The 21,382-nt window shown below is 35.9% G+C and overlaps 1 protein-coding gene across 14 annotated transcripts in view; it reads left to right on the forward strand.

Moving 5' to 3' along the window:
• PAN3 (poly(A) specific ribonuclease subunit PAN3) overlaps positions 1–21,382 on the forward strand; it is a 157,143-nt gene that overhangs the window by 119,140 nt on the left and 16,621 nt on the right. For 8 of the 14 annotated variants that reach the window (XM_011535034.4, NM_175854.8, XM_011535032.4 and 5 more), the window contains 8 exons: positions 3,115–3,219; positions 4,069–4,126; positions 9,383–9,544; positions 9,763–9,879; positions 9,968–10,069; positions 13,369–13,534; positions 14,649–14,739; positions 19,905–20,044. In XM_011535034.4, coding sequence (XP_011533336.1) covers positions 3,115–3,219; positions 4,069–4,126; positions 9,383–9,544; positions 9,763–9,879; positions 9,968–10,069; positions 13,369–13,534; positions 14,649–14,739; positions 19,905–20,044 — 941 coding nt within the window. Of the gene's footprint in view, positions 1–3,114; positions 3,220–4,068; positions 4,127–9,382; positions 9,545–9,762; positions 9,880–9,967; positions 10,070–13,368; positions 13,535–14,648; positions 14,740–18,047; positions 20,049–20,789; positions 20,861–21,382 lie in introns of those variants that run through there. The other 6 variants (XM_005266332.4, XM_047430249.1, XR_941549.3 and 3 more) reach the window with 5 other exon arrangements.

Raw genomic sequence — 21,382 nt, forward strand, 5'->3', positions numbered from 1 at the left:
TTTAGCTTCATTACTTCATCCATATTCAAAAATTATTTTATTTACCCTAGAAAAATAAGTAGTAGATGAAGTGAGTGAGAAAGTCAGAGTCCACTAAAACAGGGGTCCTCAATCCTTGGACCAGAGACCAGTGTTAGGAACCAGGCCGCACAGCAGGAGGTGAGCAGTGGGCGAGTAAGTGAAGTTTCATCCGTATTTACACCCACTCCCCATTGCTCTCATTACCATCTGAGCTCCTCCTCCTGTCAGATCAGCAGAGGCATTAGATTCCATAGGAACATGAACCCTATTGTAAACTATAAATATATTGTAAAATACATATATATTTTATATATATGTAAAGTTATTAAATTATATAAATATATATTATATATATTATATATAATTAATATATATTATATATAAATTATATATAATATATAATTAATTATATATTATATATAAATTATATATAATATATAATTAATATATAAAATTATATAAATATATATATTTTTTGAGATGGATGTTCGCTATTTCACCCAGGCTGGAGGGCAGTGGTTCAGTCTTTGTTCACTGCAGCCTCCGCCTCCTGGGTTCAAGCATTCCTCTCACCTCAGCCTCTAGTAGCTGGGACTACAGACGCACACCACCATGCCTGGCTAACTTTTGTATCTTTAATAGAGATGAGGTTTCACCCAGTTGATCAGTTGGCCAGGCTGATCTCAAATTCTTGACCTCAAATGATCCGCCCACCTTGGCCTCTGAAGTGCCGGGATTACAGGCGTGAGCCACCATGCCCAGCCTAAACTATGCTATCTTATGTAAGGAAACCAACACAAGAAAAAAGAGATATTATTCTCCCTGCAGACACAGGCTAAAGGAAACCTTACAAGTATCACAAAACTGCTTCCTAGTTGAGATGCAGAGCAGAGCAGTCATGTTAGGGCAGCGCAAATCAGCTGAATTCGTTTTTAAAAGAGAAAAAAGGTTTCATTGTTTAAAATGAAAGAATGAAAAAATAGAAAAGATATTTAAAACTGAACTTTGATTTTGTATCATGGACCAGTGAAGGAGAGGCAGAGAAAAGAGTGATAAAGAGAACAAAGGGTGGTGGGATGAGTCCAGTTGAAAGAATGAAAGACAAGAAGCTGGAAGCTGATTTAGTAACTTTATTGTAGTTTGCTTGGAAGGTAAATGTATTATTGTATCCTTCTGTTCACTTAAACTGCTGACCTAGAGTAGGTTTGAATAACACTTTGTTTAGTTTGGCCACAAAATGCCTGTGAAAGGGGAAATTCTTTGGGCAGCCAGGGCAATATCACTTCCTTATCTCCCAGTACCCAAACACCTTTAGTTTCTCCTTCCTTCCTTCCAGTTGCTTTCAAAAAGTGGCGATGAACTGCTTGTATAGTTGCCATTTAGTATCCAAGGGGGATTGATTCCCGGACGCCCACAGATAGCAAAATTCCTGGGTGCTCAAGTCCCTGATATAGAATGACATAGTATTTGCATAGATCTTATACACATCCTCCTGTATACTTTAAATTATCTCTAGATTACTTATAATACCTAATGCAGTATAAGTGCTTTGTGAATAGTTGTTATAATGTATTTTTAATTTGTATTACTTCTCATTTGTTGTATTGTCATTTTTTTCCCCTGAATATTTCCTACCCATGGTTGGTCGAATCCTTGAATACAGAACCCAGGGATACAGAAGGCTGACTATGTGACATTTCTTCCAAAGAGCTACTTTTATCTTCTCAATGGAGCTTAAATTTTACTGTATCTGAAGAAATGTTTTCTTTCTCATTAGATTTTTTTTTTTTTTGAGACAGAGTCTTCCCCTGTCCCCCAGGCTGGAGTGCAGTGGCACGATCTCGGCTCACTGCAGCCTCCACTTCCCAGTTTCAAGCGATTCTCCTGCCTCAGTCTCCTGAGTAGCTGGGATTATAGGTGCCTGCCACCAAGCCTGGCTAATTTGTGTTTTTTTTGTTGTTTTTTTTTTTGAGATGGAGTCTCGGCTCTGTCACCCCAGCTGGAATGCGTTAGTTCAATCTTGGTGCACTGCAACCTCCACCTCCGGGTTCAAATGATTCTCCTGCCTCAACCTCCCGAGTAACTGGGAGTACAGGTGCATGCCACCACACCCGGCTAATTTTTTGTATTTTTAGTAGAGACAGGTTTCACCATGTTAGCCAGGATAATTTTTGTATTTTTAGTAGAGATGGAGTTTTACCATGTTGGCCAGGCTGGCTCATTAGATTTTTAATTGATTACTGAAATATTATGTTTATTTTTATTTTTTTAATTTTTTATTTTATTTATTTATTTATTTATTGAGACGGGGTTTCATTCTTGTTGCCTAGGCTGGAGTACAATGGCACAATCTCCACTCACCACAACCTCTGCCTCCCTGGTTCAAGTGATTCTCCTGCCTCAGCCTCCTGAGTAGCTGGGATTACAGGCTTGCGCCACCATGCCCCACTAATTTTGTATTTTCAGTAGAGACCAGGTTTCTCCATTTTGGTCAGGCTGGTCTCGAACTCCCAACCTCAGGTGATCTGCCCACCTCAGCCTCCCAGAGTGCTGGGATTACAGTTGTGAGCCACTGCGCCTGGCCGAAATATTATTTTTAATATGAATTCTTTCAGAAAGTATTCTCTAACAGCTATTCTCTGAGGTTTTTACTTCAATATTATTTAAAGATTTAAAATGTATTAAAATTTATTGCTATCATGTAAAGATTAAAATTTTATCAAAACAATAATAAAGCTTATTGATTATGAAAAATTAGTCAGGCTGGGTGTGGTGGCTCACACCTGTAATCCCAGCACTTTGGGAGGCCGAGGCAGGTGGATCACCTGAGGTCAGGAGTTCAAGACCAGCCTGGCCAACATGGTGAAACCCTGTCTCTACAAAAATACAAAAATTAGCTGGGCATGATGGTGGGTACCTGTAATCCCAGCTACGTGAGGCTGAGGCAGGAGAATCACTTGAACCCGGGAGGCAGAGCTTGTAGTGAGCCGAGATTGCGCCACTGAACTCCAGCCTGGGCAACAGAGCAAGACTCCATCTGAAAAAAAGAAAGAAAAATGAGTGATTACATTTACCCCCTTCCTACCTTTTTAGGTGTTTCCAAACTATCATATTTATCCTCCAACTGCACCTCACGTTGCTTATATGCAACCGAAAGCAAACGCACCTTCCTTCTTCATGGCTGATGAACTCCGACAGGTATGCTTTCAGAATTCATAGTAGGAATACTTAATGTCTCCTGTGCTTTAGTGAACAGGGGAAAGAACAGAGCTCTTTTCAAATCATATTATTTAATCAAATATGCTCTAGTAAAGCACATCGAATTTAGAAGTTTTAATTGGTATTTTTTTTAAGGAAACCTGTCTTTTAAAAAAATTTCAAATAAATTATGTGGCAGGATATAAAACATAGAATAGCTATTTAAATGGTTCACTGTTCTGTACTTCATTTTATTTCTATGAAAAGGCTCTTTGAAGTATATAAATAATTTAAATGGTTTCTAACAGTATTTTTCTAATAGATGTAGGTTAAAAATAAGTAGTTTGGCTCAGGAAATAACTTTAAGAGAGCTCAATATTTTTTTAAAAGAATGTTTTTTAAAAGTTTTTTTGTTTTGTTTAATTTTTGGTAAACAGCTAGTTATTTGGTATGTAGAATTTCACTTTACACTCAGATTCTCAGAAATATTTTTGTTTCATAGAAGTGAGTTCTACCAGTATAGTGTTTTTTAAATTAATTATTACCAGTTTACTAGTAGACCTTGAATTTTCAGCCACAGCGTTAGTCACGTGTTTTGGGTAGCCCAGCTACCCGTGTTTAAGGGGCACATCTACTTAAACCCAATCTTAATTATGGCATGTCTAAGTCTGTCTGGGCCTGGAGTTCAGACATTTTACCATGTTTAGAAATGTTTTAATATTTAAATGATTTTAATATTTAAAAAGTGCATATGCCAAAAATATTAATACTTAGGTTATTTAATTATAATAGGAATTCCAGGTTTCAGAATCTGTGTTTAAATAAAAATATACTTATTTTGTTTCATAGGAGCTGATCAACAGACATTTAATAACAATGGCTCAAATTGATCAAGCAGATATGCCAGGTAAAAAGCAAGTTGATCCTTCCTTTCTTTTAAAGGCTGTTATAATTCTTACGTGGTAGTACATGTTTTATGCATTATTAAGAAGAGTTCCAGGCTGGGCCTGGTGGCTCATACCTGTAATCCCAGCAGTTTGGGAGGCTGAGGCAGGAGGATTGCTTGAGCCCAGAAGTTTGAGACTAGCCTGAGCGAAATAGTGGGAACCTGTCTCTACAAAAAATAAATTAGCTGGGAGTGGTGGTGCATATTTGTAGTCCCAGCTACTCAGGAGGCTGAGGCAGGAGGATCACTTGAGCCTTGAAGGTTAAGACTGCAGTGAGCTGGCTATAATCGCCCCACTGCACTCCAGCCGGGGTGACAGAGTGAGACCCTGTCTCAAAAAAAAAAAAAAAAAAAGGACAGTCCCAAGGTACTACTGATCATCTAGTTTATTTCTGTTAATTCTACATATGACAGTATTCTAGTTCACAAAAAAAGTATATAATTTTAGAATTCATGGTGATTTACTTTACTGTGCACCAGAATATTTTTATCTCCTGAAACTTAATGAAGTATGGGTTCTTAAGCAGGAGAGGATGGTAATTATTAGGCCTATTTGTGAGACTACTGTGTGCCAGACAGTATACTAATTAAATACTTTACATGTCTTACTTTATTTCTCACAAACATCCTGTGACATATTATTTTCATTTCCATTTTACATATGAGGAATACTGAAGTTGACAGGTTAAGTAACTTAACCTTCAGGACCAATGGCTGGTAAACAGCTGACTGATTCCAGACTTAAAACTAGGTTGTTCTAACTGTACCACAATATTTCTTAAAGCGTATTAAAGTATCTTTCCTTAGCTTACTCTGTATAAATGAAATATGATATAATTTAGTAAAATTTCATAAATAATACAGTAGGAATACATTTGCCATAAAGATCTCAAAATGCCTGCTTGTAATCAGAAATTCAGCATCGTCTAGTGAGTGTTGTCTCTTGATTGCTAAAGAATTAAAAGAAATATGTCTGGCTGTTACACCTTAAGATGGATCTTTCCAGGTAAGGTGGGAAGGAACTTACTTGTCATAACCTTTGAAATATTCATCTTGGAATTTTTCTTAACTGTTTAATATTGTATTTGAGGCTTTAGCCAGGTTTTGCAAAAGTTTAAAAAGAAAAAAAAATGGAAGGCACAAAGACCGGAAAGGAGAAAATAAACCTACCATCTATAAATCATGTGACTGCAGATTAGACATTATTTGAAATAACAAACTGTAGAAAATGGCTGGATGTAAGATTAATACATCAGTTGCATTTCTGTAGGCCAGTACCCAGTTAACTTCAAAATATAATTAAAAGCAAATGCTACTTAAAATGGTTTTGCAATATCAGTATGTAGGAATAAATAACAACAAAAGATAGGTAAGATTTCAGCAGGGGAGATTTATTTATTACGCAGTATTAAATAATATAAATGAAATACTGTAGATTAGTAGAGGTTACTCATGATTAGGAAGACAGAACAAGTAAGATGTCAATTTTTCTGAACTGACATGTAGATCCAGTAGAATTCCAGTCAAAGCATAACTTCCAGTCAAATCTTTTCATGGAGTATGATAAAATGTATCAAAGAATAAAGGGCCACGACCATCCAAGGTACTTTGAAGAGTATGGTTATTATTTATGTTCATATGAAGAATTTGTTTGTGTATTAGGGAAGGAGAGGTTTGATTTGAGTCTGCAGTAACTAAATCAATGTGGTGATAGCACAGGGTTAAACAGATTGATTAACGGAACAGATTAGAGAGAGCCAGACACGTTCTGTGATAAAGTTGGCAAATAAGTGGGGGAAAAGAAAGCATTGGAAAAATGTTTTTGGTTTTTTAATTAAAAAAATAAACTTTTATTGAGACAGCATCTTGCTGTCACCCAGGCTGGAGTACAGTGGCGTGATCGCAGCTCACTGCAACCTCCGCCTCCTGGGCTCAAGCAGTCCTCCTACTTCAGCCTCCCAAGTAGCTGGGACTACAGGTGTACACCACCACACTTGGCTAATTTTTGTATATTTTGTAGAGAGGGTTTCACCATGTTGCTGAGGCTGGTCTTGAACTTCTGGACTCAAGTGATCCACCTGCCTCAGCCTTCCAGAGTGCTGGGATTACAGGCATGAGCCACTGTGCTTCAGGCCACAAAAAATGGTTTTCTATATTGACAAGATAAAATTGGGTCATTATCTCAAGCCACATTAAAAAGTCAACTTCAAATAGATTAAGAACTTACATGTCTAAAACAGAACTCTAAAACTCTTTCTGTAAAATATAAATGAGTGTATTTTATCTACTTTTAAAATACTTTAAAAAATAAAAATTAATTTTATCTACATTTGTAGCGATGATAAAATATTTAAAATTTTTTTGTCACGTTCTCTTTCAAATATCCATGAGTACTTTACATGATTCATCAGTATGCACACAATTTTCAACTTAGACATTTTCAAACAAACACCGCCCTATGTTTCTGACTATCCCTTCCCGCGTAACATTTGTTTGCATTATAGTTCACCCATTTGACACTTGATAATATAGTTTTTGGCATCCTGAATTACAGTGCAGTGAACATATTCATCTACTTAATTTTTTTCTTCTGTAGGAAATATTTTTTTCCTTAGAAGAAATACTTCAAGTATTTCTAAACTGATCTATAGATTCAGTAGTTCAGAAATACTTTTATAATTATTTATACTTTTAAGTATAAAAAATGTAAATAATTGATAAATTGATGCTCTTTTAAAAAGATATAAAAAAGAAAAACGCGCCGGGCGCAGTGGCTCACACCTGTAATCCCAGCACTTTGGGAGGCCAAGGTGAGTGGATCACTTGAGGTCAGAAGTTTGAGACCAGCCTGGCCAACATGGCAAAACCCTGTCTCTACTAAAAATACAAAAATTAGCCAGGCGTGGTGGTGCCCAACTGTAACTCCAGCTACTCGGGAGGCTGAGGCACAAGACTCGCTTGAACCTGGGAGGTGGAGGTTGCAGTGAGATTGTGCCATTGCGCTCCATCCTGGGAGACTCTGTCTCCAAAAAAAAAGAAAAAAGTAAAGTAGAAGTGGTTTTAAAGCTTATTACATAGAACCAAATTGCTTTCCAAGGGATATCAATTAAACACCATTGATTTGTAAGTTGTAATAATTTACTAGCAACCCCATAGCAAACGAGTGCCTACTATCCTTGGGAATTGCTCTGTTCTTTGTATTTTCATAGTGTATTAGCTCTCAAAGTATGATTCCTTAACCAGAGGCTCATTTTCATTGACTTTTAGGAACTTGTTAGAATTGTGAGTTCTTGGATCCCACTTCAGATTGTATCAGAAACTCGGGGAATGGGGCCCAGCAAACTATATTTTAACAAGGCTTTAGGTGATTGTGACAGGTGGTGACGTTTAAGAACCAGTGCCATAGCGAATTGTACTTCTTAAATGGCGACTTTACCTCTTACATGTTTTGTATAAATTTGTGTTCTTTATTTTTCTCTAGGCCTCTTGAGGGTAAGAACGTAATATTTCTTTAGGTTCATTAGTACATAGTAGATGCTCAGTATATTTTGCTGATTTGAAATTAATCCTGTATTAAGTGCTCCTTAATAAATGAAATAGCTGGAAAACAAAATTTACCATTTTAACTTCCTTATGGACATTATACCAATCATTCAAATACAAACTAGGTAAATGCGCAAAAGTAAAAGTTACAGCTATTTCACTTGTGTGTATTCTTCCGTTGTACTGCTTTTATTTTATTTATTTATTTAAGAGATGAGGTCTTAAATGTTGCCCAGGCTGAATTCAGCTCCTGGGTTTAAGTGATTCTGCTGCCTCAGCCTCCCAAGTAGCTAGGACTATAGTCACATGCAATGACACTTGGCAGTATACTGCCTTTATTTAAGTAGAACATGCCACTTGGTGACATTTAATCATTCTACATTTGTTTTTCATTATGGCCATGCCATGTAGAGATTATGATTATAGAATCAAAAAGTCCTGGGTTTGCATCCTACCTTTCTCTCTCAGCTATGCAATCCTTATTATCCTCATTTATGAAATAGGGAATTCTACCTCATGGAATTGTTGTGAGAATTAAGAGATAATGGGCATAAAGTATTTGGCAAATGCAGAGGAAGGATCATTTTGAACCTGTCTTCTGGAATTAGTTTTCTTAATAGGGTTTCATCTGTGTTTCTTACCAGAGGTCAAAAATTATCAGTTGTTTTTGTTTATAGGGTTTTTTTTTTTTTTTTTTTTTTTTTGAGACGGAGTCTCGCTCTGTCGCCCAGGTGGGACTGCGGACTGCAGTGGCGCAATCTCGGCTCACTGCAAGCTCCGCTTCCCGGGTTCACGCCATTCTCCTGCCTCAGCCTCCCGAGTAGCTGGGACTACAGGCGCCCGCCACCGCGCCCGGCTAATTTTTTTTGTATTTTTAGTAGAGACGGGGTTTCACCTTGTTAGCCAGGATGGTCTCGATCTCCTGACCTCATGATCCACCCGCCTCGGCCTCCCAAAGTGCTGGGATTACAGGCGTGAGCCACCGCGCCCGGCCGGTTTTTTTTTTTTTTTTTTAACAGACATAATGCCATGTTTTAAAAATAGTGTTAAACATGTATATTATAAAACATTTGGCAAATACAAAATAGTGTATAGAAAAGAATAATAATCCTCCCTTTAAAAGGTTACCATTGTTACCATCTGCTATATTTTCTTCTAGTTGGTTTACTATGGCTGTACTACATGTTGGGTTATCTTCCGTTCACTTAAAATATCATGAGCATTCCGAAGTCATTCGAGACAGTTAACAGAATGAAAGTATAGGTTGGTGTTCAATTGGAAAACATGATGGTATTTGAAGCATTAAAAAATACATGTTTTTTTATTATAAACCTGATAAAATGTTTGCTCCAGAAAAATTTATCTCAGTGATAACTCAAATTATTTATAAAAATTATTTCTGAGGAACAAATTTGTATTGTGCTATAAAAGGAAATGTTTTTGAATGTATGAACTTTAGTTATTCTTTGGTTATTTTATTATATAATGCCTATTTTTATTGATACTGAAGCTAGTTTGTCTTATGGAATTGTAATAAATGTTTACACTATTCTAAAATACAAGAGCACATTGTGATACACAAGGGGTTTATAGTAAATATCATGTCTTCTGTATTTTTGAGAAAGATTTATGAATGCCTGTATTTTCAAGTCATCTTCTTATGAATTACTCTAGCAGTTCCTACAGAGGTTGACAGCTACCATAGCCTATTCCCTCTAGAACCACTGCCACCTCCCAACCGGATACAGAAATCAAGTAATTTTGGATATATTACATCTTGCTACAAAGCTGTAAACAGCAAAGATGATCTGCCATATTGCCTTCGGAGGATACATGGTAAGGAAGATAAGTTATCTTCTTTTATAATCGTATCATTGAGGCTAAGATTATTCAAACCTTCTTGAATATATTATTTAATATATGAATTAAAAATTTTTATTTGGAAATTAGTACCTCATGAGCAATGTATAAATATGGCAATTTTTTTCCATTTCTGATGGAATATGAAGGAGACGTCAATTAGAGTTTACTGGAGTAGAAAAATTGTCTTCCAGGTTTTCGTCTTGTTAACACAAAGTGCATGGTGTTGGTCGACATGTGGAAGAAAATTCAACACTCAAATATCGTAACTTTGCGTGAAGTATTTACCACTAAAGCATTTGCTGAGCCCTGTGAGTAACTTGTAATTTGTCTTTCTGCTGGTGAGCTTCATTATTTGAAGCCAGCTTTCAGTAATGAGTGTTTGTGTTTTATTTTAAGCTCTTGTGTTTGCATATGATTTCCATGCTGGAGGAGAAACTATGATGAGCAGACACTTTAATGACCCTAATGCTGATGCCTACTTCACCAAGAGAAAGTGGGGTAAGAAAAAGATGCAGGCAAACTATATTTTGACTAATGCTTTTGCTCTGTGGAAGAGTAGTTTTCTATTTTAAAATACGTATAATTTTTCCCTGTAATCATTTAGTTTAAAGACTCTATTACATTTTGTACTAGTTGTTTTCATGTTCCTGATAAAGACATACCCGAGACTGGGCAATTTACAAAAGAGAGAGGTTTAATGAACTTACAGTTCCATGTGGCTTGGGAGGTCTCACAATCATGGCAGAAGGTGAAAGGCATGTCTCACATGGCGGCAGACAAGAGAAGTGAATGAGAGCCAAGTAAAAGGGGTTTCCCCCTGTAAAACTGTCAGATCTCATGAGACCTATTCACTACCACGAGAACAGTATGGGGGAAATTACCCCCATGATTCAGTTATCTCCCACCAGCTCCCTCCCACAACACTGTGGGAATTATGGGAGTTACAATTCAAAATGAGATTTGGGTGGGGACGCAGCCAAACCATATCACATTTTAAAAAGAAATATGTCAAAGAAATGGAGATGATGGTCAAGAAGTTAGGAAATAATGTCTTTTGCATATTTACTAAGATAAGATAGATTTTTGAAGACTCACATAGATATCAGATATTTAACTGGAAATGTGTTAAAATTGTTTTTCTCTTTAAAATGTTTTTCTTTTAAAAATATGATGCTTTCTTAATAAAGGTGACTTGGAAAATTCAATAGCTTAGAAATAGTCTCTCTGGCTTCCCTGCCTAAGTACAACCATTGTGAATCTTTTAGTACATTTCTTTTCAATCTTGCTTTGTTTTGTTTTTGTCTCCTTTTGCATTGTTTTTTGTTTTAACCTTTTATATCATATTACATCTTTTCTTTATTATAGGTATTTTCCCCATAGTTTTTATATTCTCTGAATATAATTTAATGATTCCTATTATGACTATATTGTTCTTTATGTAATTATTTCCCTAAACAAATGCTTTTGTTTGAAGGTTGGATTCCATGTTACTTAATCTAAGGTTTCAAAATAGAATTTTAAGTAACTTTTCCTTAAACATGAAATATTTTCTTCTTTGTCCCTTTCTAATATATACTTAAAGAATTGTTTTATCATTGAGATTTTGCAAACAACCAGAATACTTGAATTCTAACAAATGTGTGTTAAAGGGTAAATGATTTCAGAGAAAAGTAAATCCATTTTGAGATGTCTATTCATTAATTTATGTATTTAGGGAAGGTCTCAGTCTATGGGGGCAAGAAAGCAGCATCACGTTATTATGCTTTTTAATCTTAAGATTTTCTTGACTTGAAAATTAAAGAGGAGGGGAGAAAGATTTGAGTCCATATTCTAGTATCTTTCAGATTACAACTCCTTTCAAGACTCTAATTATAGACAAAAATATATTACTTCTGTTTACTTGTTACTTCTTTTTTTTTGCATCCTGACAGTTGAAAAAAGAAAGTTGTGGTTACATGGCTGTTTCACATTTAAAATCTGGTCATAGAATGTGGTCATTTTTTTCCTTTTGCTATGTCATCTGTAGACACATGCATAATTTTGTGGAAGGGGATGTGGTACAACTATTCTTATAGATGACTATAGTTGTTGCTCAAATTTATTTTGGTAGTAACACCTGTGAAATGACTGTTGGCTTTAATTTATAACTGTGTTTCTCAACTGCTTAAGTTTTTGTGGGGGCTGTCTTATGCATTTCAGAATGTTTATAGTGGCCTCTTCTGACTGAAGGGCCTGGCTTCTGCCTACTGAATGCCAGTAGCAATCCCCCTCTACCCCTATTGTAATGCCAGAAATATCTCCAGATGTTGCCAAATGCTGGAGTGGTTTCTTTTGAGAACCACTCTTTTATAGCATTCTTTTCCAGTAATTTTTTAATCATAATTATTCTGTTTTTGGTGTTCACTGATTAATATATTAATGTTTATATTTTCATAGGAAGTAGTCCTTTTTTCTAATAGTTTAAAATATTGTTTGAGTAGTCGTAACTTCCCTAACCATACCATACATGCATAAAAGCCTACCATTTTCTTACACTATGTAATTTATTATCTTAGCACAAGTGAAAAAAAAAAGCAAAGTATAAGAAATATATTGATTTAGAAAATGAGAAGAATAGCATACCATGTGGAGTTGATACGAGATTCAGAATGAGTCTATATCAGTAAAACAACTAGAACAGAGTCTGGCACACAGTAAGCACTATATGTTTGCTGCAAAAACTCTTGTTTCCTTATTACTACATTAATTAAATAGTTTCATTTAAACAGTTCATAGTCATTTTTCACATTGTCTTGGCATTTGTTACCGGTCCCATTTTTTTGAGCCTTCTTACACATATTTCCAGAGTATATTATCTTCTGTTCTGTCCAAATTGAGAGATAATTATTTTTAATTTTGTATGTGCTGCTTACCAGAAATTTTATTCCAAGCCATAAGTACATATTTGCTATTTATTATAAGTACATAATTAACCATTTAATTATGTTGCTTTTTATAACTGATTCACAAAAGGTTGTTTTACAACAATATGAATATAAGATCAGCAGGGTGTAGGGACTCATGCTTGCAATCTCAGCACTTAGGGAGGCTGAGGCAGGTAGATCATTTGAGCCCAGGAGTTGGAGATCAGCCTGGGCAATGTAGCAAAAGTGTCTCTACAAAGAAAAGAATATAAGGTCATATTCCTTGGAATAATTACAAAATCTTGATTAAATTTATATGTCTCCTTTTCTACTGATTTACAACATATTAACAATGACCTAGAAAATATTATCAAAAACCACTTAATGAGTTGATAGAATCCACCTTTGTGGTAGAGGGGCCTGAGTGATATAAGGAAAACAAACATTCAACATAAGTGATGGTAGAGACTTTTATTTCCATCAAGCCACACAATGAACAGCTCTCACATGCCTAAACAATAATACAGGGTAGGATTAGCCAGCCACATTTTAAGTAGAAAAACCTCTACGGTTTCTGTTTTTATATTTATTTGGTTAACAATTACATATAAATTCTTACTTTAAGTAATTTTTATTCAATAATTAAGTGGTTACAGAAAAGAGCATTTCAGTGAGAGCCCTATTGCTGGTATCAATATAAAAGGCATAATCTCGGACAGGAATCTTTGGGCAATAGACTAAACTTAAATTACACACATACATACACACACATATATAAATTGACATGTTGTGCCATGAGTGTACATGAATTGTCTTTGCTAATTTTGATGTTAATGCTTTAGTCTTTTAGTTGATTACTTAAGATGTCATTTTTTGGATTTCTTTGCTGTATAGGTCAGCACGAGGGACCATTGCCCAGGCAGCATGCTGGATTATTGCCAGAATCTCTTATTTGGGCATATATTGTCCAACTAAGTTCTGCATTGCGTACCATTCATACAGCAGGTTTGGCATGTCGAGTTATGGATCCAACAAAGATTCTGATAACTGGCAAAACAAGGTACTAGCATTTTGAGTTTTGGTTTCTTTTATTGAGCGTCTTACCTTTGACAGCTTAGTAAACAAAACATGATTGTTTTAATTCTGCCTTTTCATATATTCCATCCAGAAGAACTTCTGTAACTTTGAATTCATTTGTAAGCTTTTTAAAGAAAAAAAAAAAGTTGAACTCTGAATAAAATGCCTGGTTATTAACCAAAAATCTTGGGAAAGGTTAGGGAAGTATATGTGGTTAGGGTTAGGGGAATATAAAAATAATATCAATACAACTTTTCTATGTAGCACCATGGTTCACAAATTCTAGCATGAATCAGAATCACCTGGAGGACTTACAAAACACAGCTTGCTGGGCCCTACCCCCAGAGATTTTCATTCATAAGTCTGCATTGGGGCCTAAGTATTTGCATATTTAACAAGTTTCTAGGTGTTGCCATTGCTGCTGTTGAGTCACATGCTTTGAGAACAACTGGTACAGTTATCAGTCTTGTCTTCACCTGAGTTTTGAGTTGCTGTAATTTTGTGATTGTCTTGGGCTGCATAACATAAAGAGCTGAAGATCTGGTACCAAGTTATTTAAGTTCATATCCTGGCTTTGATAGTTTACTGTCGATATGCCGTTGAACAAGTTACTTCTTCAAATTGTGTTTTGACAACCTTATTAGACAAGTGTACTACTAACTCCATTCTGCTTATTTATGAGGTACCCCTCATAAAGTTATTGAGGGATTTGAATGAGTCATGTAAAATGCTTAGAACAGTGTCTGGTACATCTTTTGCAAGTGTTAGAAAGCTAACTAGTTCTCTTTTATGAATGACTAATAAACAGCTTGGAATGGTGAAAAGGACACTGACCTGTTAGTCAAGAGATGTGAGTTATAGTTCTGGCTTTCTCAGTTTCTGACTTTTACAGCTGTAGGTATATCACTTGATATCTCTGAGCCTTAATTTTACCATTTCTAAAATGGTGGTTGGTGGAGGTGGTGTGGGGTAGGATGGAAGTTAAACTCAATTCTGAGATCCTTCCTAATATTTTGGGAAATGTTACTTTTCCATGAGTATGCAATTTTTTAAAAACTTATTTTAATTATTTTCTTTAAATTATCTGGTCCTTAAAGGTTGCGAGTAAATTGTGTTGGAGTTTTTGATGTTTTAACATTTGATAACAGTCAAAATAATAATCCATTGGCATTAATGGCCCAGTACCAGGTGAGTAAGAATTAACATGGATATTTACTTGTTTTCCTTTATTAAAGACAAATTTTGTTCATTTTAAAGTATTTCAGTGTTTTAAGCCTAGATTTTAATTTATTTTGGGGTGGTGTCTATGCAGACTTTGAACATGTATCTCCCCCTCCCCTCCCTCTCTTTTCTTCCTTTCCTTTCCCCTCTCTATTTCTTTCTCTCTCTTTTCCTTTCTATTCTTTTGCTTCTGTCTTGCTCTGTCACCTGGGCTAGAGTGCAGTGGTGCTGTCAGCTCACTGCAGCTTTTGAACTGGGCCCAAGCAATCGTCTCGCCTCAGCCTCCCATGTAGCTGGGACTACAGATGTGCACTACTGTGTCTGGCTAAAATTTTTTTTATTTTTATTTTTTGTAGAGATAGAGGCTCACGATGTTGCCCAGGCTGTATTTCTTAACCATTATGATGTACTTAGTGTAGAGCCCTTGTGGGTTGGAATAAAGAGAATTCATGACAATGTCAGAGACTCTTTTTTTTTTTTTTGAGGCAGAGTTTCACTCTTGTTGCCCAGACTGGAGTGCAATGGCGCGATCTCAACTCACCACAACCTCTGCCTCCCAGGTTCAAGCGATTCTCCTGCCTCAGCCTCCCGAGTAGCTGGGATTACAGGCATGCACCACCATGCCTGGCTGATTTTGTATTTTTAGTAAAGACAGGGTTTCTCCATGTTGGTCAGGCTGGTCTTGAACTCCTGACCTCAGGTGATCCGCCTGCCTCGGCCTCCCAAAGTGCTGGGATTACAGGCATGAGCCACTGTGCCCGGCCTCCTGATAACGTCAGAGACTCTTAACTGTTCAAAATGAAAATGTATTTATGTGATTTAGGAAACGTGTCCTAAGCATAGATAGATTAAAACAAGACTAATCAGATGAATGGATTATATTAAATGACACCCTTCTTTTTCACTCCTTTAATTACACCTATTATTTTTACTTTTAGAACACTTGTCTGACTACCAGTCATGAAATTTTAGAAATGTTTTCATAGGTTTGTTATTGGATTGCCATTTTCTAAGTAATTTTTTTATTTAGTCAGAACATACCACTCACTTCTTATACTTTATTAGTATTTGATTATTGTCTGACTTCATTTTATTAGTGTTGATTTAGGCCTCGTGATGCTTCTTAGCTATTTTGCTGTTTCTTATTTCCTGATTTAAATGATAAAGTATCGAAGAATAAGAACGTATCTTCAAGCATTAAGAACAGTTGCTTTAGGCCAGGTGTGGTGGCTCACACCTGTAATCCCAGCACTTTGAGAGGCTGAGGTGGGCAGATCACTTGAGCTCAGGAGCTGGAGACCAGCCTGGCCAACATGGTGAAACCCCACCTCTCCTAAAAATACAAAGATTAGCCAGGTGTGGTGGCACACACCTGTAGTCCAGCTACTCAGGAGGCTAAGGCAGGAGAATCGCTTGAACCTGGGAGGCGGAGGTTGCAGTGAGCTGAGATCGCACCACTGCACTCCTGCCTGGGTAACAGAGCTAGACTCCATCTCAAAAAAAAAAAAGAGAATAGTTGTTTTTGCCTTGATTACTCTGCAAGTAACAAAACTAAAGTAAATAGGTCATTCAGTTTGTATTGGAATGCTTCACATTAGGATAGGCAGCTATGATTTTAAGACAATTTTAGTTCTTTGTGTATAAGAAGTTTTTGGGTTTTTTGAACATTTATTAACTTACAAAGGTTTGCTCTAAGGCAGAATTTCTTAATTACATGGAGAAACACCTTATTCTTCTCTTTTCAACTTATTTTGTTTAAAGTTTTGGAAGAAGATTTTAGTTCACTGATAGAATTTCAGAACAAAAAGAGAACAAAAAGGATAAAATGAGAAGTAGAGTCTAATCAGTGTTTAGTATTTCAGTTCATGCATAAATCTGTTTTGCTCGTAAACCACAGAGAATACAGTCCCAAAGACTTGCAGGCACTCATTGCATTCAGTTGTTTGCAGACGTTTCACACCCTTCTTTCCCTCTGCTTGTGCCCACCTAACCTCAGCAGCAGCCAAGCTGTTCTGGTTGATAGCAACATCTAGTGGGCAACACAGGGAGGAATATGATTAGTTCTGTTTTTCCCCCAGCAGCATCATTCTGTTCTTCTGCCTGAGGGCATTTGCCCCCTCTTTCTTATCTGGAGACATTGTTTCTTAGCTACTTTCATTCTTATCTTCTCTCTTATACTTAGTGCCTAGGTAGTTGGCTCCGATTAATTTTTCTTTATGACCTTTATGCTTCCAAAAGTGACAGATTATTGACTGTTAAAATATTAGTGAATATATACACTTGGATATACATCCAAGCAGATAATATTAAATTTTTGAAGGAAAATTACACATTTTTAGAGCCAGTACCATCATCTTCTAATGTAAGTATCTAGAAACCCGTGTCTGCATTAAAAAAAAAAAAAACTGCACACGCTCCTCATTCTTTTCTCAGTAGGGTTCCTTTTCAAGTATGTTATGAGTCGTGTAGTTACCTTGAAAAACAAAACTTTTCATAAGAAAAAAATCCCTGAGTTCAGACAACCAACTTTAAGCATTTAGGGCACCTTATTAATATTTGTAAGTCAGGATATGCCTTCATTCATAAAATCAGGCAACCTTCAATTAATTATCACCTGTTTATTTTTTTCAGCATTAAAGGATATATATCAGGCTTTCTTTTTTTGGGTATATATGTGTAGCTGATTTTTTATATTGCTTATTATAGTAAGGTATAGGAAAGAATTAAAGATAGTCCCAAAGGGGGAGTGTGATTTTACAGAGAAGAGGATACATGAGGAGTGCATTGTTTCTTGTAGTCTATTTTTCATAGTTTGTTTCAGACACGTGAATAGAGACTGACTTTGAGTAAAATGGACATAAGTAGAGCCATAGATAGAATCAGAAAAAGAAATCAAGAAGTCAAGAATCAGGAAGAAACTGAAAATCAGTTGGGGGGCAAATCTCCTGAATTCAACAAATGGGGGGAAACCAGATGGAGGTAAGAAGCAAAATAACAAATGGAAAATTATTTAGCTGAGAAATAAGGAAAGGAGAGTTACTGGGTTTTACGGTGTGAAACTCTCTTAAGATTTTATTAACTTCTTTTGTTTAAAAAAACAACTCTAATTTAATCTGGACTGTGTCATACATGTACTTTATTTCAAAAAGTGGATGTTCTTACCTTGAGTCCGCTTTAGAGAGGTGATGGGATGTACTAAAAATCAGATGTTATTTTTTAAACCCATCTGGTTCTTCAGCTCTCTTGGACCATTTTGGTTTTCTGTCTCATAATAGAGAATAATGGAATATTCTGGGAGGGAGGCTTAATACAGCATCAGTTCAGGGTGGAACCAAACTGAAAATTCTGCTGCTTGAAGAGTTGGAAGACTGTGTGTTGGTACCTGCTGCTCAAACACGTGATAAATAACAACAATCTTTGGTATGCTTTGCTGGATACTTTGGATTGAATCGCCCATAGAAATTTATAGTTGGCATTTATATGCACTGATTTCTTTTGGCTGAGATTTCTGTAATTTCATGAATATAACTTGGAATGTTTTACTTGATCTAAAGTGTGATTGAGAGGAATTCTTTTTGGAGTTCATCACAGTGTCCTCCAGCAAACAGAAATGATGGCAACAGTAATAGTTCTCCTTCCCATGCCAGCTTCCCTCCTGCCATTCTGGGCTCCTGACTCTATCACCAGTGAAGTTTTAAAAGTTTTCTGGGATGAATCTTTGAATCTTTTCTAATAGATTCAAAGTAGTTTGTCTACCTAATCAGTCTGTCTCCTTATCTCATGTTCAGTGTCAGATTCACAAATGCTAGTTTTGGATAAATTTTTTAGTATGAACTTTTAAATGTTATTTTAGTAATGGAGTTTAACGTCTTTTTACTCATTATTTGGGTAGGCTGTTGTTAAGTATAACCATATAATGCTAGAATTTCACTAATGATTGCCTTAAAGTTACAAATATTCCAACAAACCAGTGGTTCTCAATCCTGGCTGCATATTACCATCATTTGTGGAAGCTTAGAAAAATACCAATACCTAGATTTTTATCCCAGACTAATTATACCAAAATTGGGACGAGGGGATGGCTACTGCTGATTTTGGTTTTGTTTTTAAGCTTCTCAAGTGATGGTAATATACAGCTATGCTTGAAAATTCCTTATAATAAACGAATGTTCAGTAAATGAACGTGTGTCTAATAATTTAGATGAGTTCTCAGATTTTAAAGATCTGCAAATGTCTGTTGTAGAAATTGCTTCAGGTGGTTTCATGTTAACTCTGAAGTACTCCATTCTTGAAGGCATGTGGTTGTTAATAGCTTCCTACCAATCAGGGCCACTTGGGATGACCATACTGTTTCCTGGAGTTATAATAGGTGATAAAGGACTTAATTCAGCCAGCTGTCTTTTGAAAATCCTTTTAGAAGGAAAGCCTCAGAATGGTAAATCTTGAGTGGGAGAGGTTTTAGGAAAGCAGGTGGTGGTTCCAGAGCTCAAAGATCTGTTAGAGTGTGAGGAAAAATAGTCTATTTGGAAACAAAGATAGATGGGATGTCATTCATTGAGGTTTGCAGCATTTTTGATGTTCTAGAGAATTTGCTCTAAAATCTGGTTAATGCTAATGTTTGTAATAGGATAACTTTTCTTCAGATAATCCTTCACATTCCCACTATATTCTGGGAGTTACAGAAAATGAGCAAAGTATGTATGTTAAGTTATAGTGGTCATAGCAAAGCAAATGTATAGTAACCTTAAATTTGTTGTAATAGAGAAGAATATTACCTCTATTTAAATAAGAAAAAATTAGAAAAACTTTTTAAAAGTGGCAATTTGTAGTTGGCATGGGAATTGCTTAAAGTCTCTTAAGGCGTGGACCTAGAACTACCTTCATCAGAATTACCTGGGTGCTTTAAAAATGTTGAGCCATTTTCTGGACCCACCCAATGAGAATCTCTGGTAGAGAGGCTCGAAGTCGTCTTTTTAATAAGCTCCAGGTTATTCTGAGAATCACCAGTATTTGAGGACCCTGCCTGCAGCTTATTTATAATGATGCTTTTTCCATTTAGGCAGTAGTGTCAGTGTATTAAATGAGTACCTGTGAAATGAAAATTAAAAGTTATATTTATTCTTTCATGTCAGCAAGCAGATCTGATATCATTAGGAAAAGTTGTGTTGGCTTTGGCTTGCAACTCTTTGGCAGGAATTCAGCGAGAGAATTTACAGAAAGCCATGGAACTGGTGACAATCAACTATTCCTCTGACCTGAAGAATCTGATTTTGTAAGTTTTAATATATGATAAATTGTACAGAATGATTATTTGCGATAAGACAGAGCTTTTTTTGTTTTAAGTGATTGTTTTGGTTCCCACTATTTAAAATCAAGCAAAACAGAAACTTTATGTCTTTATTTTTATTGCAAAGTAAATATTTCTTAGATAAATTGATAAACCAGTGTGTTTAAATTAGTTATTGATGTTTTAAACATTTGGTTAAAGGGCACCCAGTAGAAGTTTGTTGGTATCCACTAGCTACATGTGACCTTTTACATTGATATTAATTGAAATTTAAAGCTTACTTCTTCAATTACACTAGTCACATTTCAAGAGCTCAGCAGCCACATGTAATTACTGGCTAATATAATTGGACAGCACAGACATAGAATATTTCCCTCATCTTGGAGTTCTGTTGGATAGTGCTGCTCTAGAGAGTGTGAAAGCCATCATGAGTAAGCCTCAGGTGCAATCCAGTCATGTACTCTGGCCAAAATACCCATTCTGGAAAGCATTTGTGTGGAGACCCCCATGCTTACACTCCAGTATCTTAACGCTCCAGAGAATCCTTGAGTATCGATTTGAGATGAATTTGGCTTAAGAGAAACCCATTGTGTGGACTACTGTCACAACAGAAGGACTTCTCCGTAAGATATAGCTACTATTGGGAGATCCCAGAGGGTGGGCAACCACGACCTTTATTACAGTTATGAGCTATATTAGAGAAGAGGTGCTAATCAACAGTCTCTTTTAGCTTACAGCTGCCCATTCTGATCTTTCTGTGTAGCCCTGGATGATCCAGTTTCTTTTTGGACCAGCCCTGGGGTATGAATTGGGGGATGGAGGGTGGGATTGCCCACCTGTTCTTTGTTACACTGGCATAAATGTCCTACTTGTGACAGCACTAGAAGCCAGTGGTTGTCTGGATCCTATTCATAATCAAATTCAAATAAGATGATTTATCTTCTGAATAAAAATACTTGTTTTATATATGATCACAACAGTGATTCCTAGCCTTAGTTTGCAAATACCTAGGATGCCTCAAATAATTTCAGGTTATAATCTCTAAATTTTCCTTTTTAAAAAAGTGGGGATAGAGGACAAAAATAATCAGCCATATGTTAATAATTATTGAAACTGGGTGATGATACATGGGGATTCATTATATTACTATTCTATTATAAATGTTTGAAATTTTCTTTATTAAAAAAATGAATAAACAAAAAAGCCATACTTTAATAATAAACACAAACTAAAGTTTATGGAGTAATTAAACCATGTATCGGGCCCTTTCAAACTGCTTGATGTGAATTAATTTTTTTAATTCTCCCAATAACTCTATAAATT

Source organism: Homo sapiens, chromosome 13, assembly GCF_000001405.40.
Source record: "Homo sapiens chromosome 13, GRCh38.p14 Primary Assembly".
NCBI classification, from domain to species: Eukaryota; Metazoa; Chordata; class Mammalia; order Primates; family Hominidae; genus Homo; species Homo sapiens.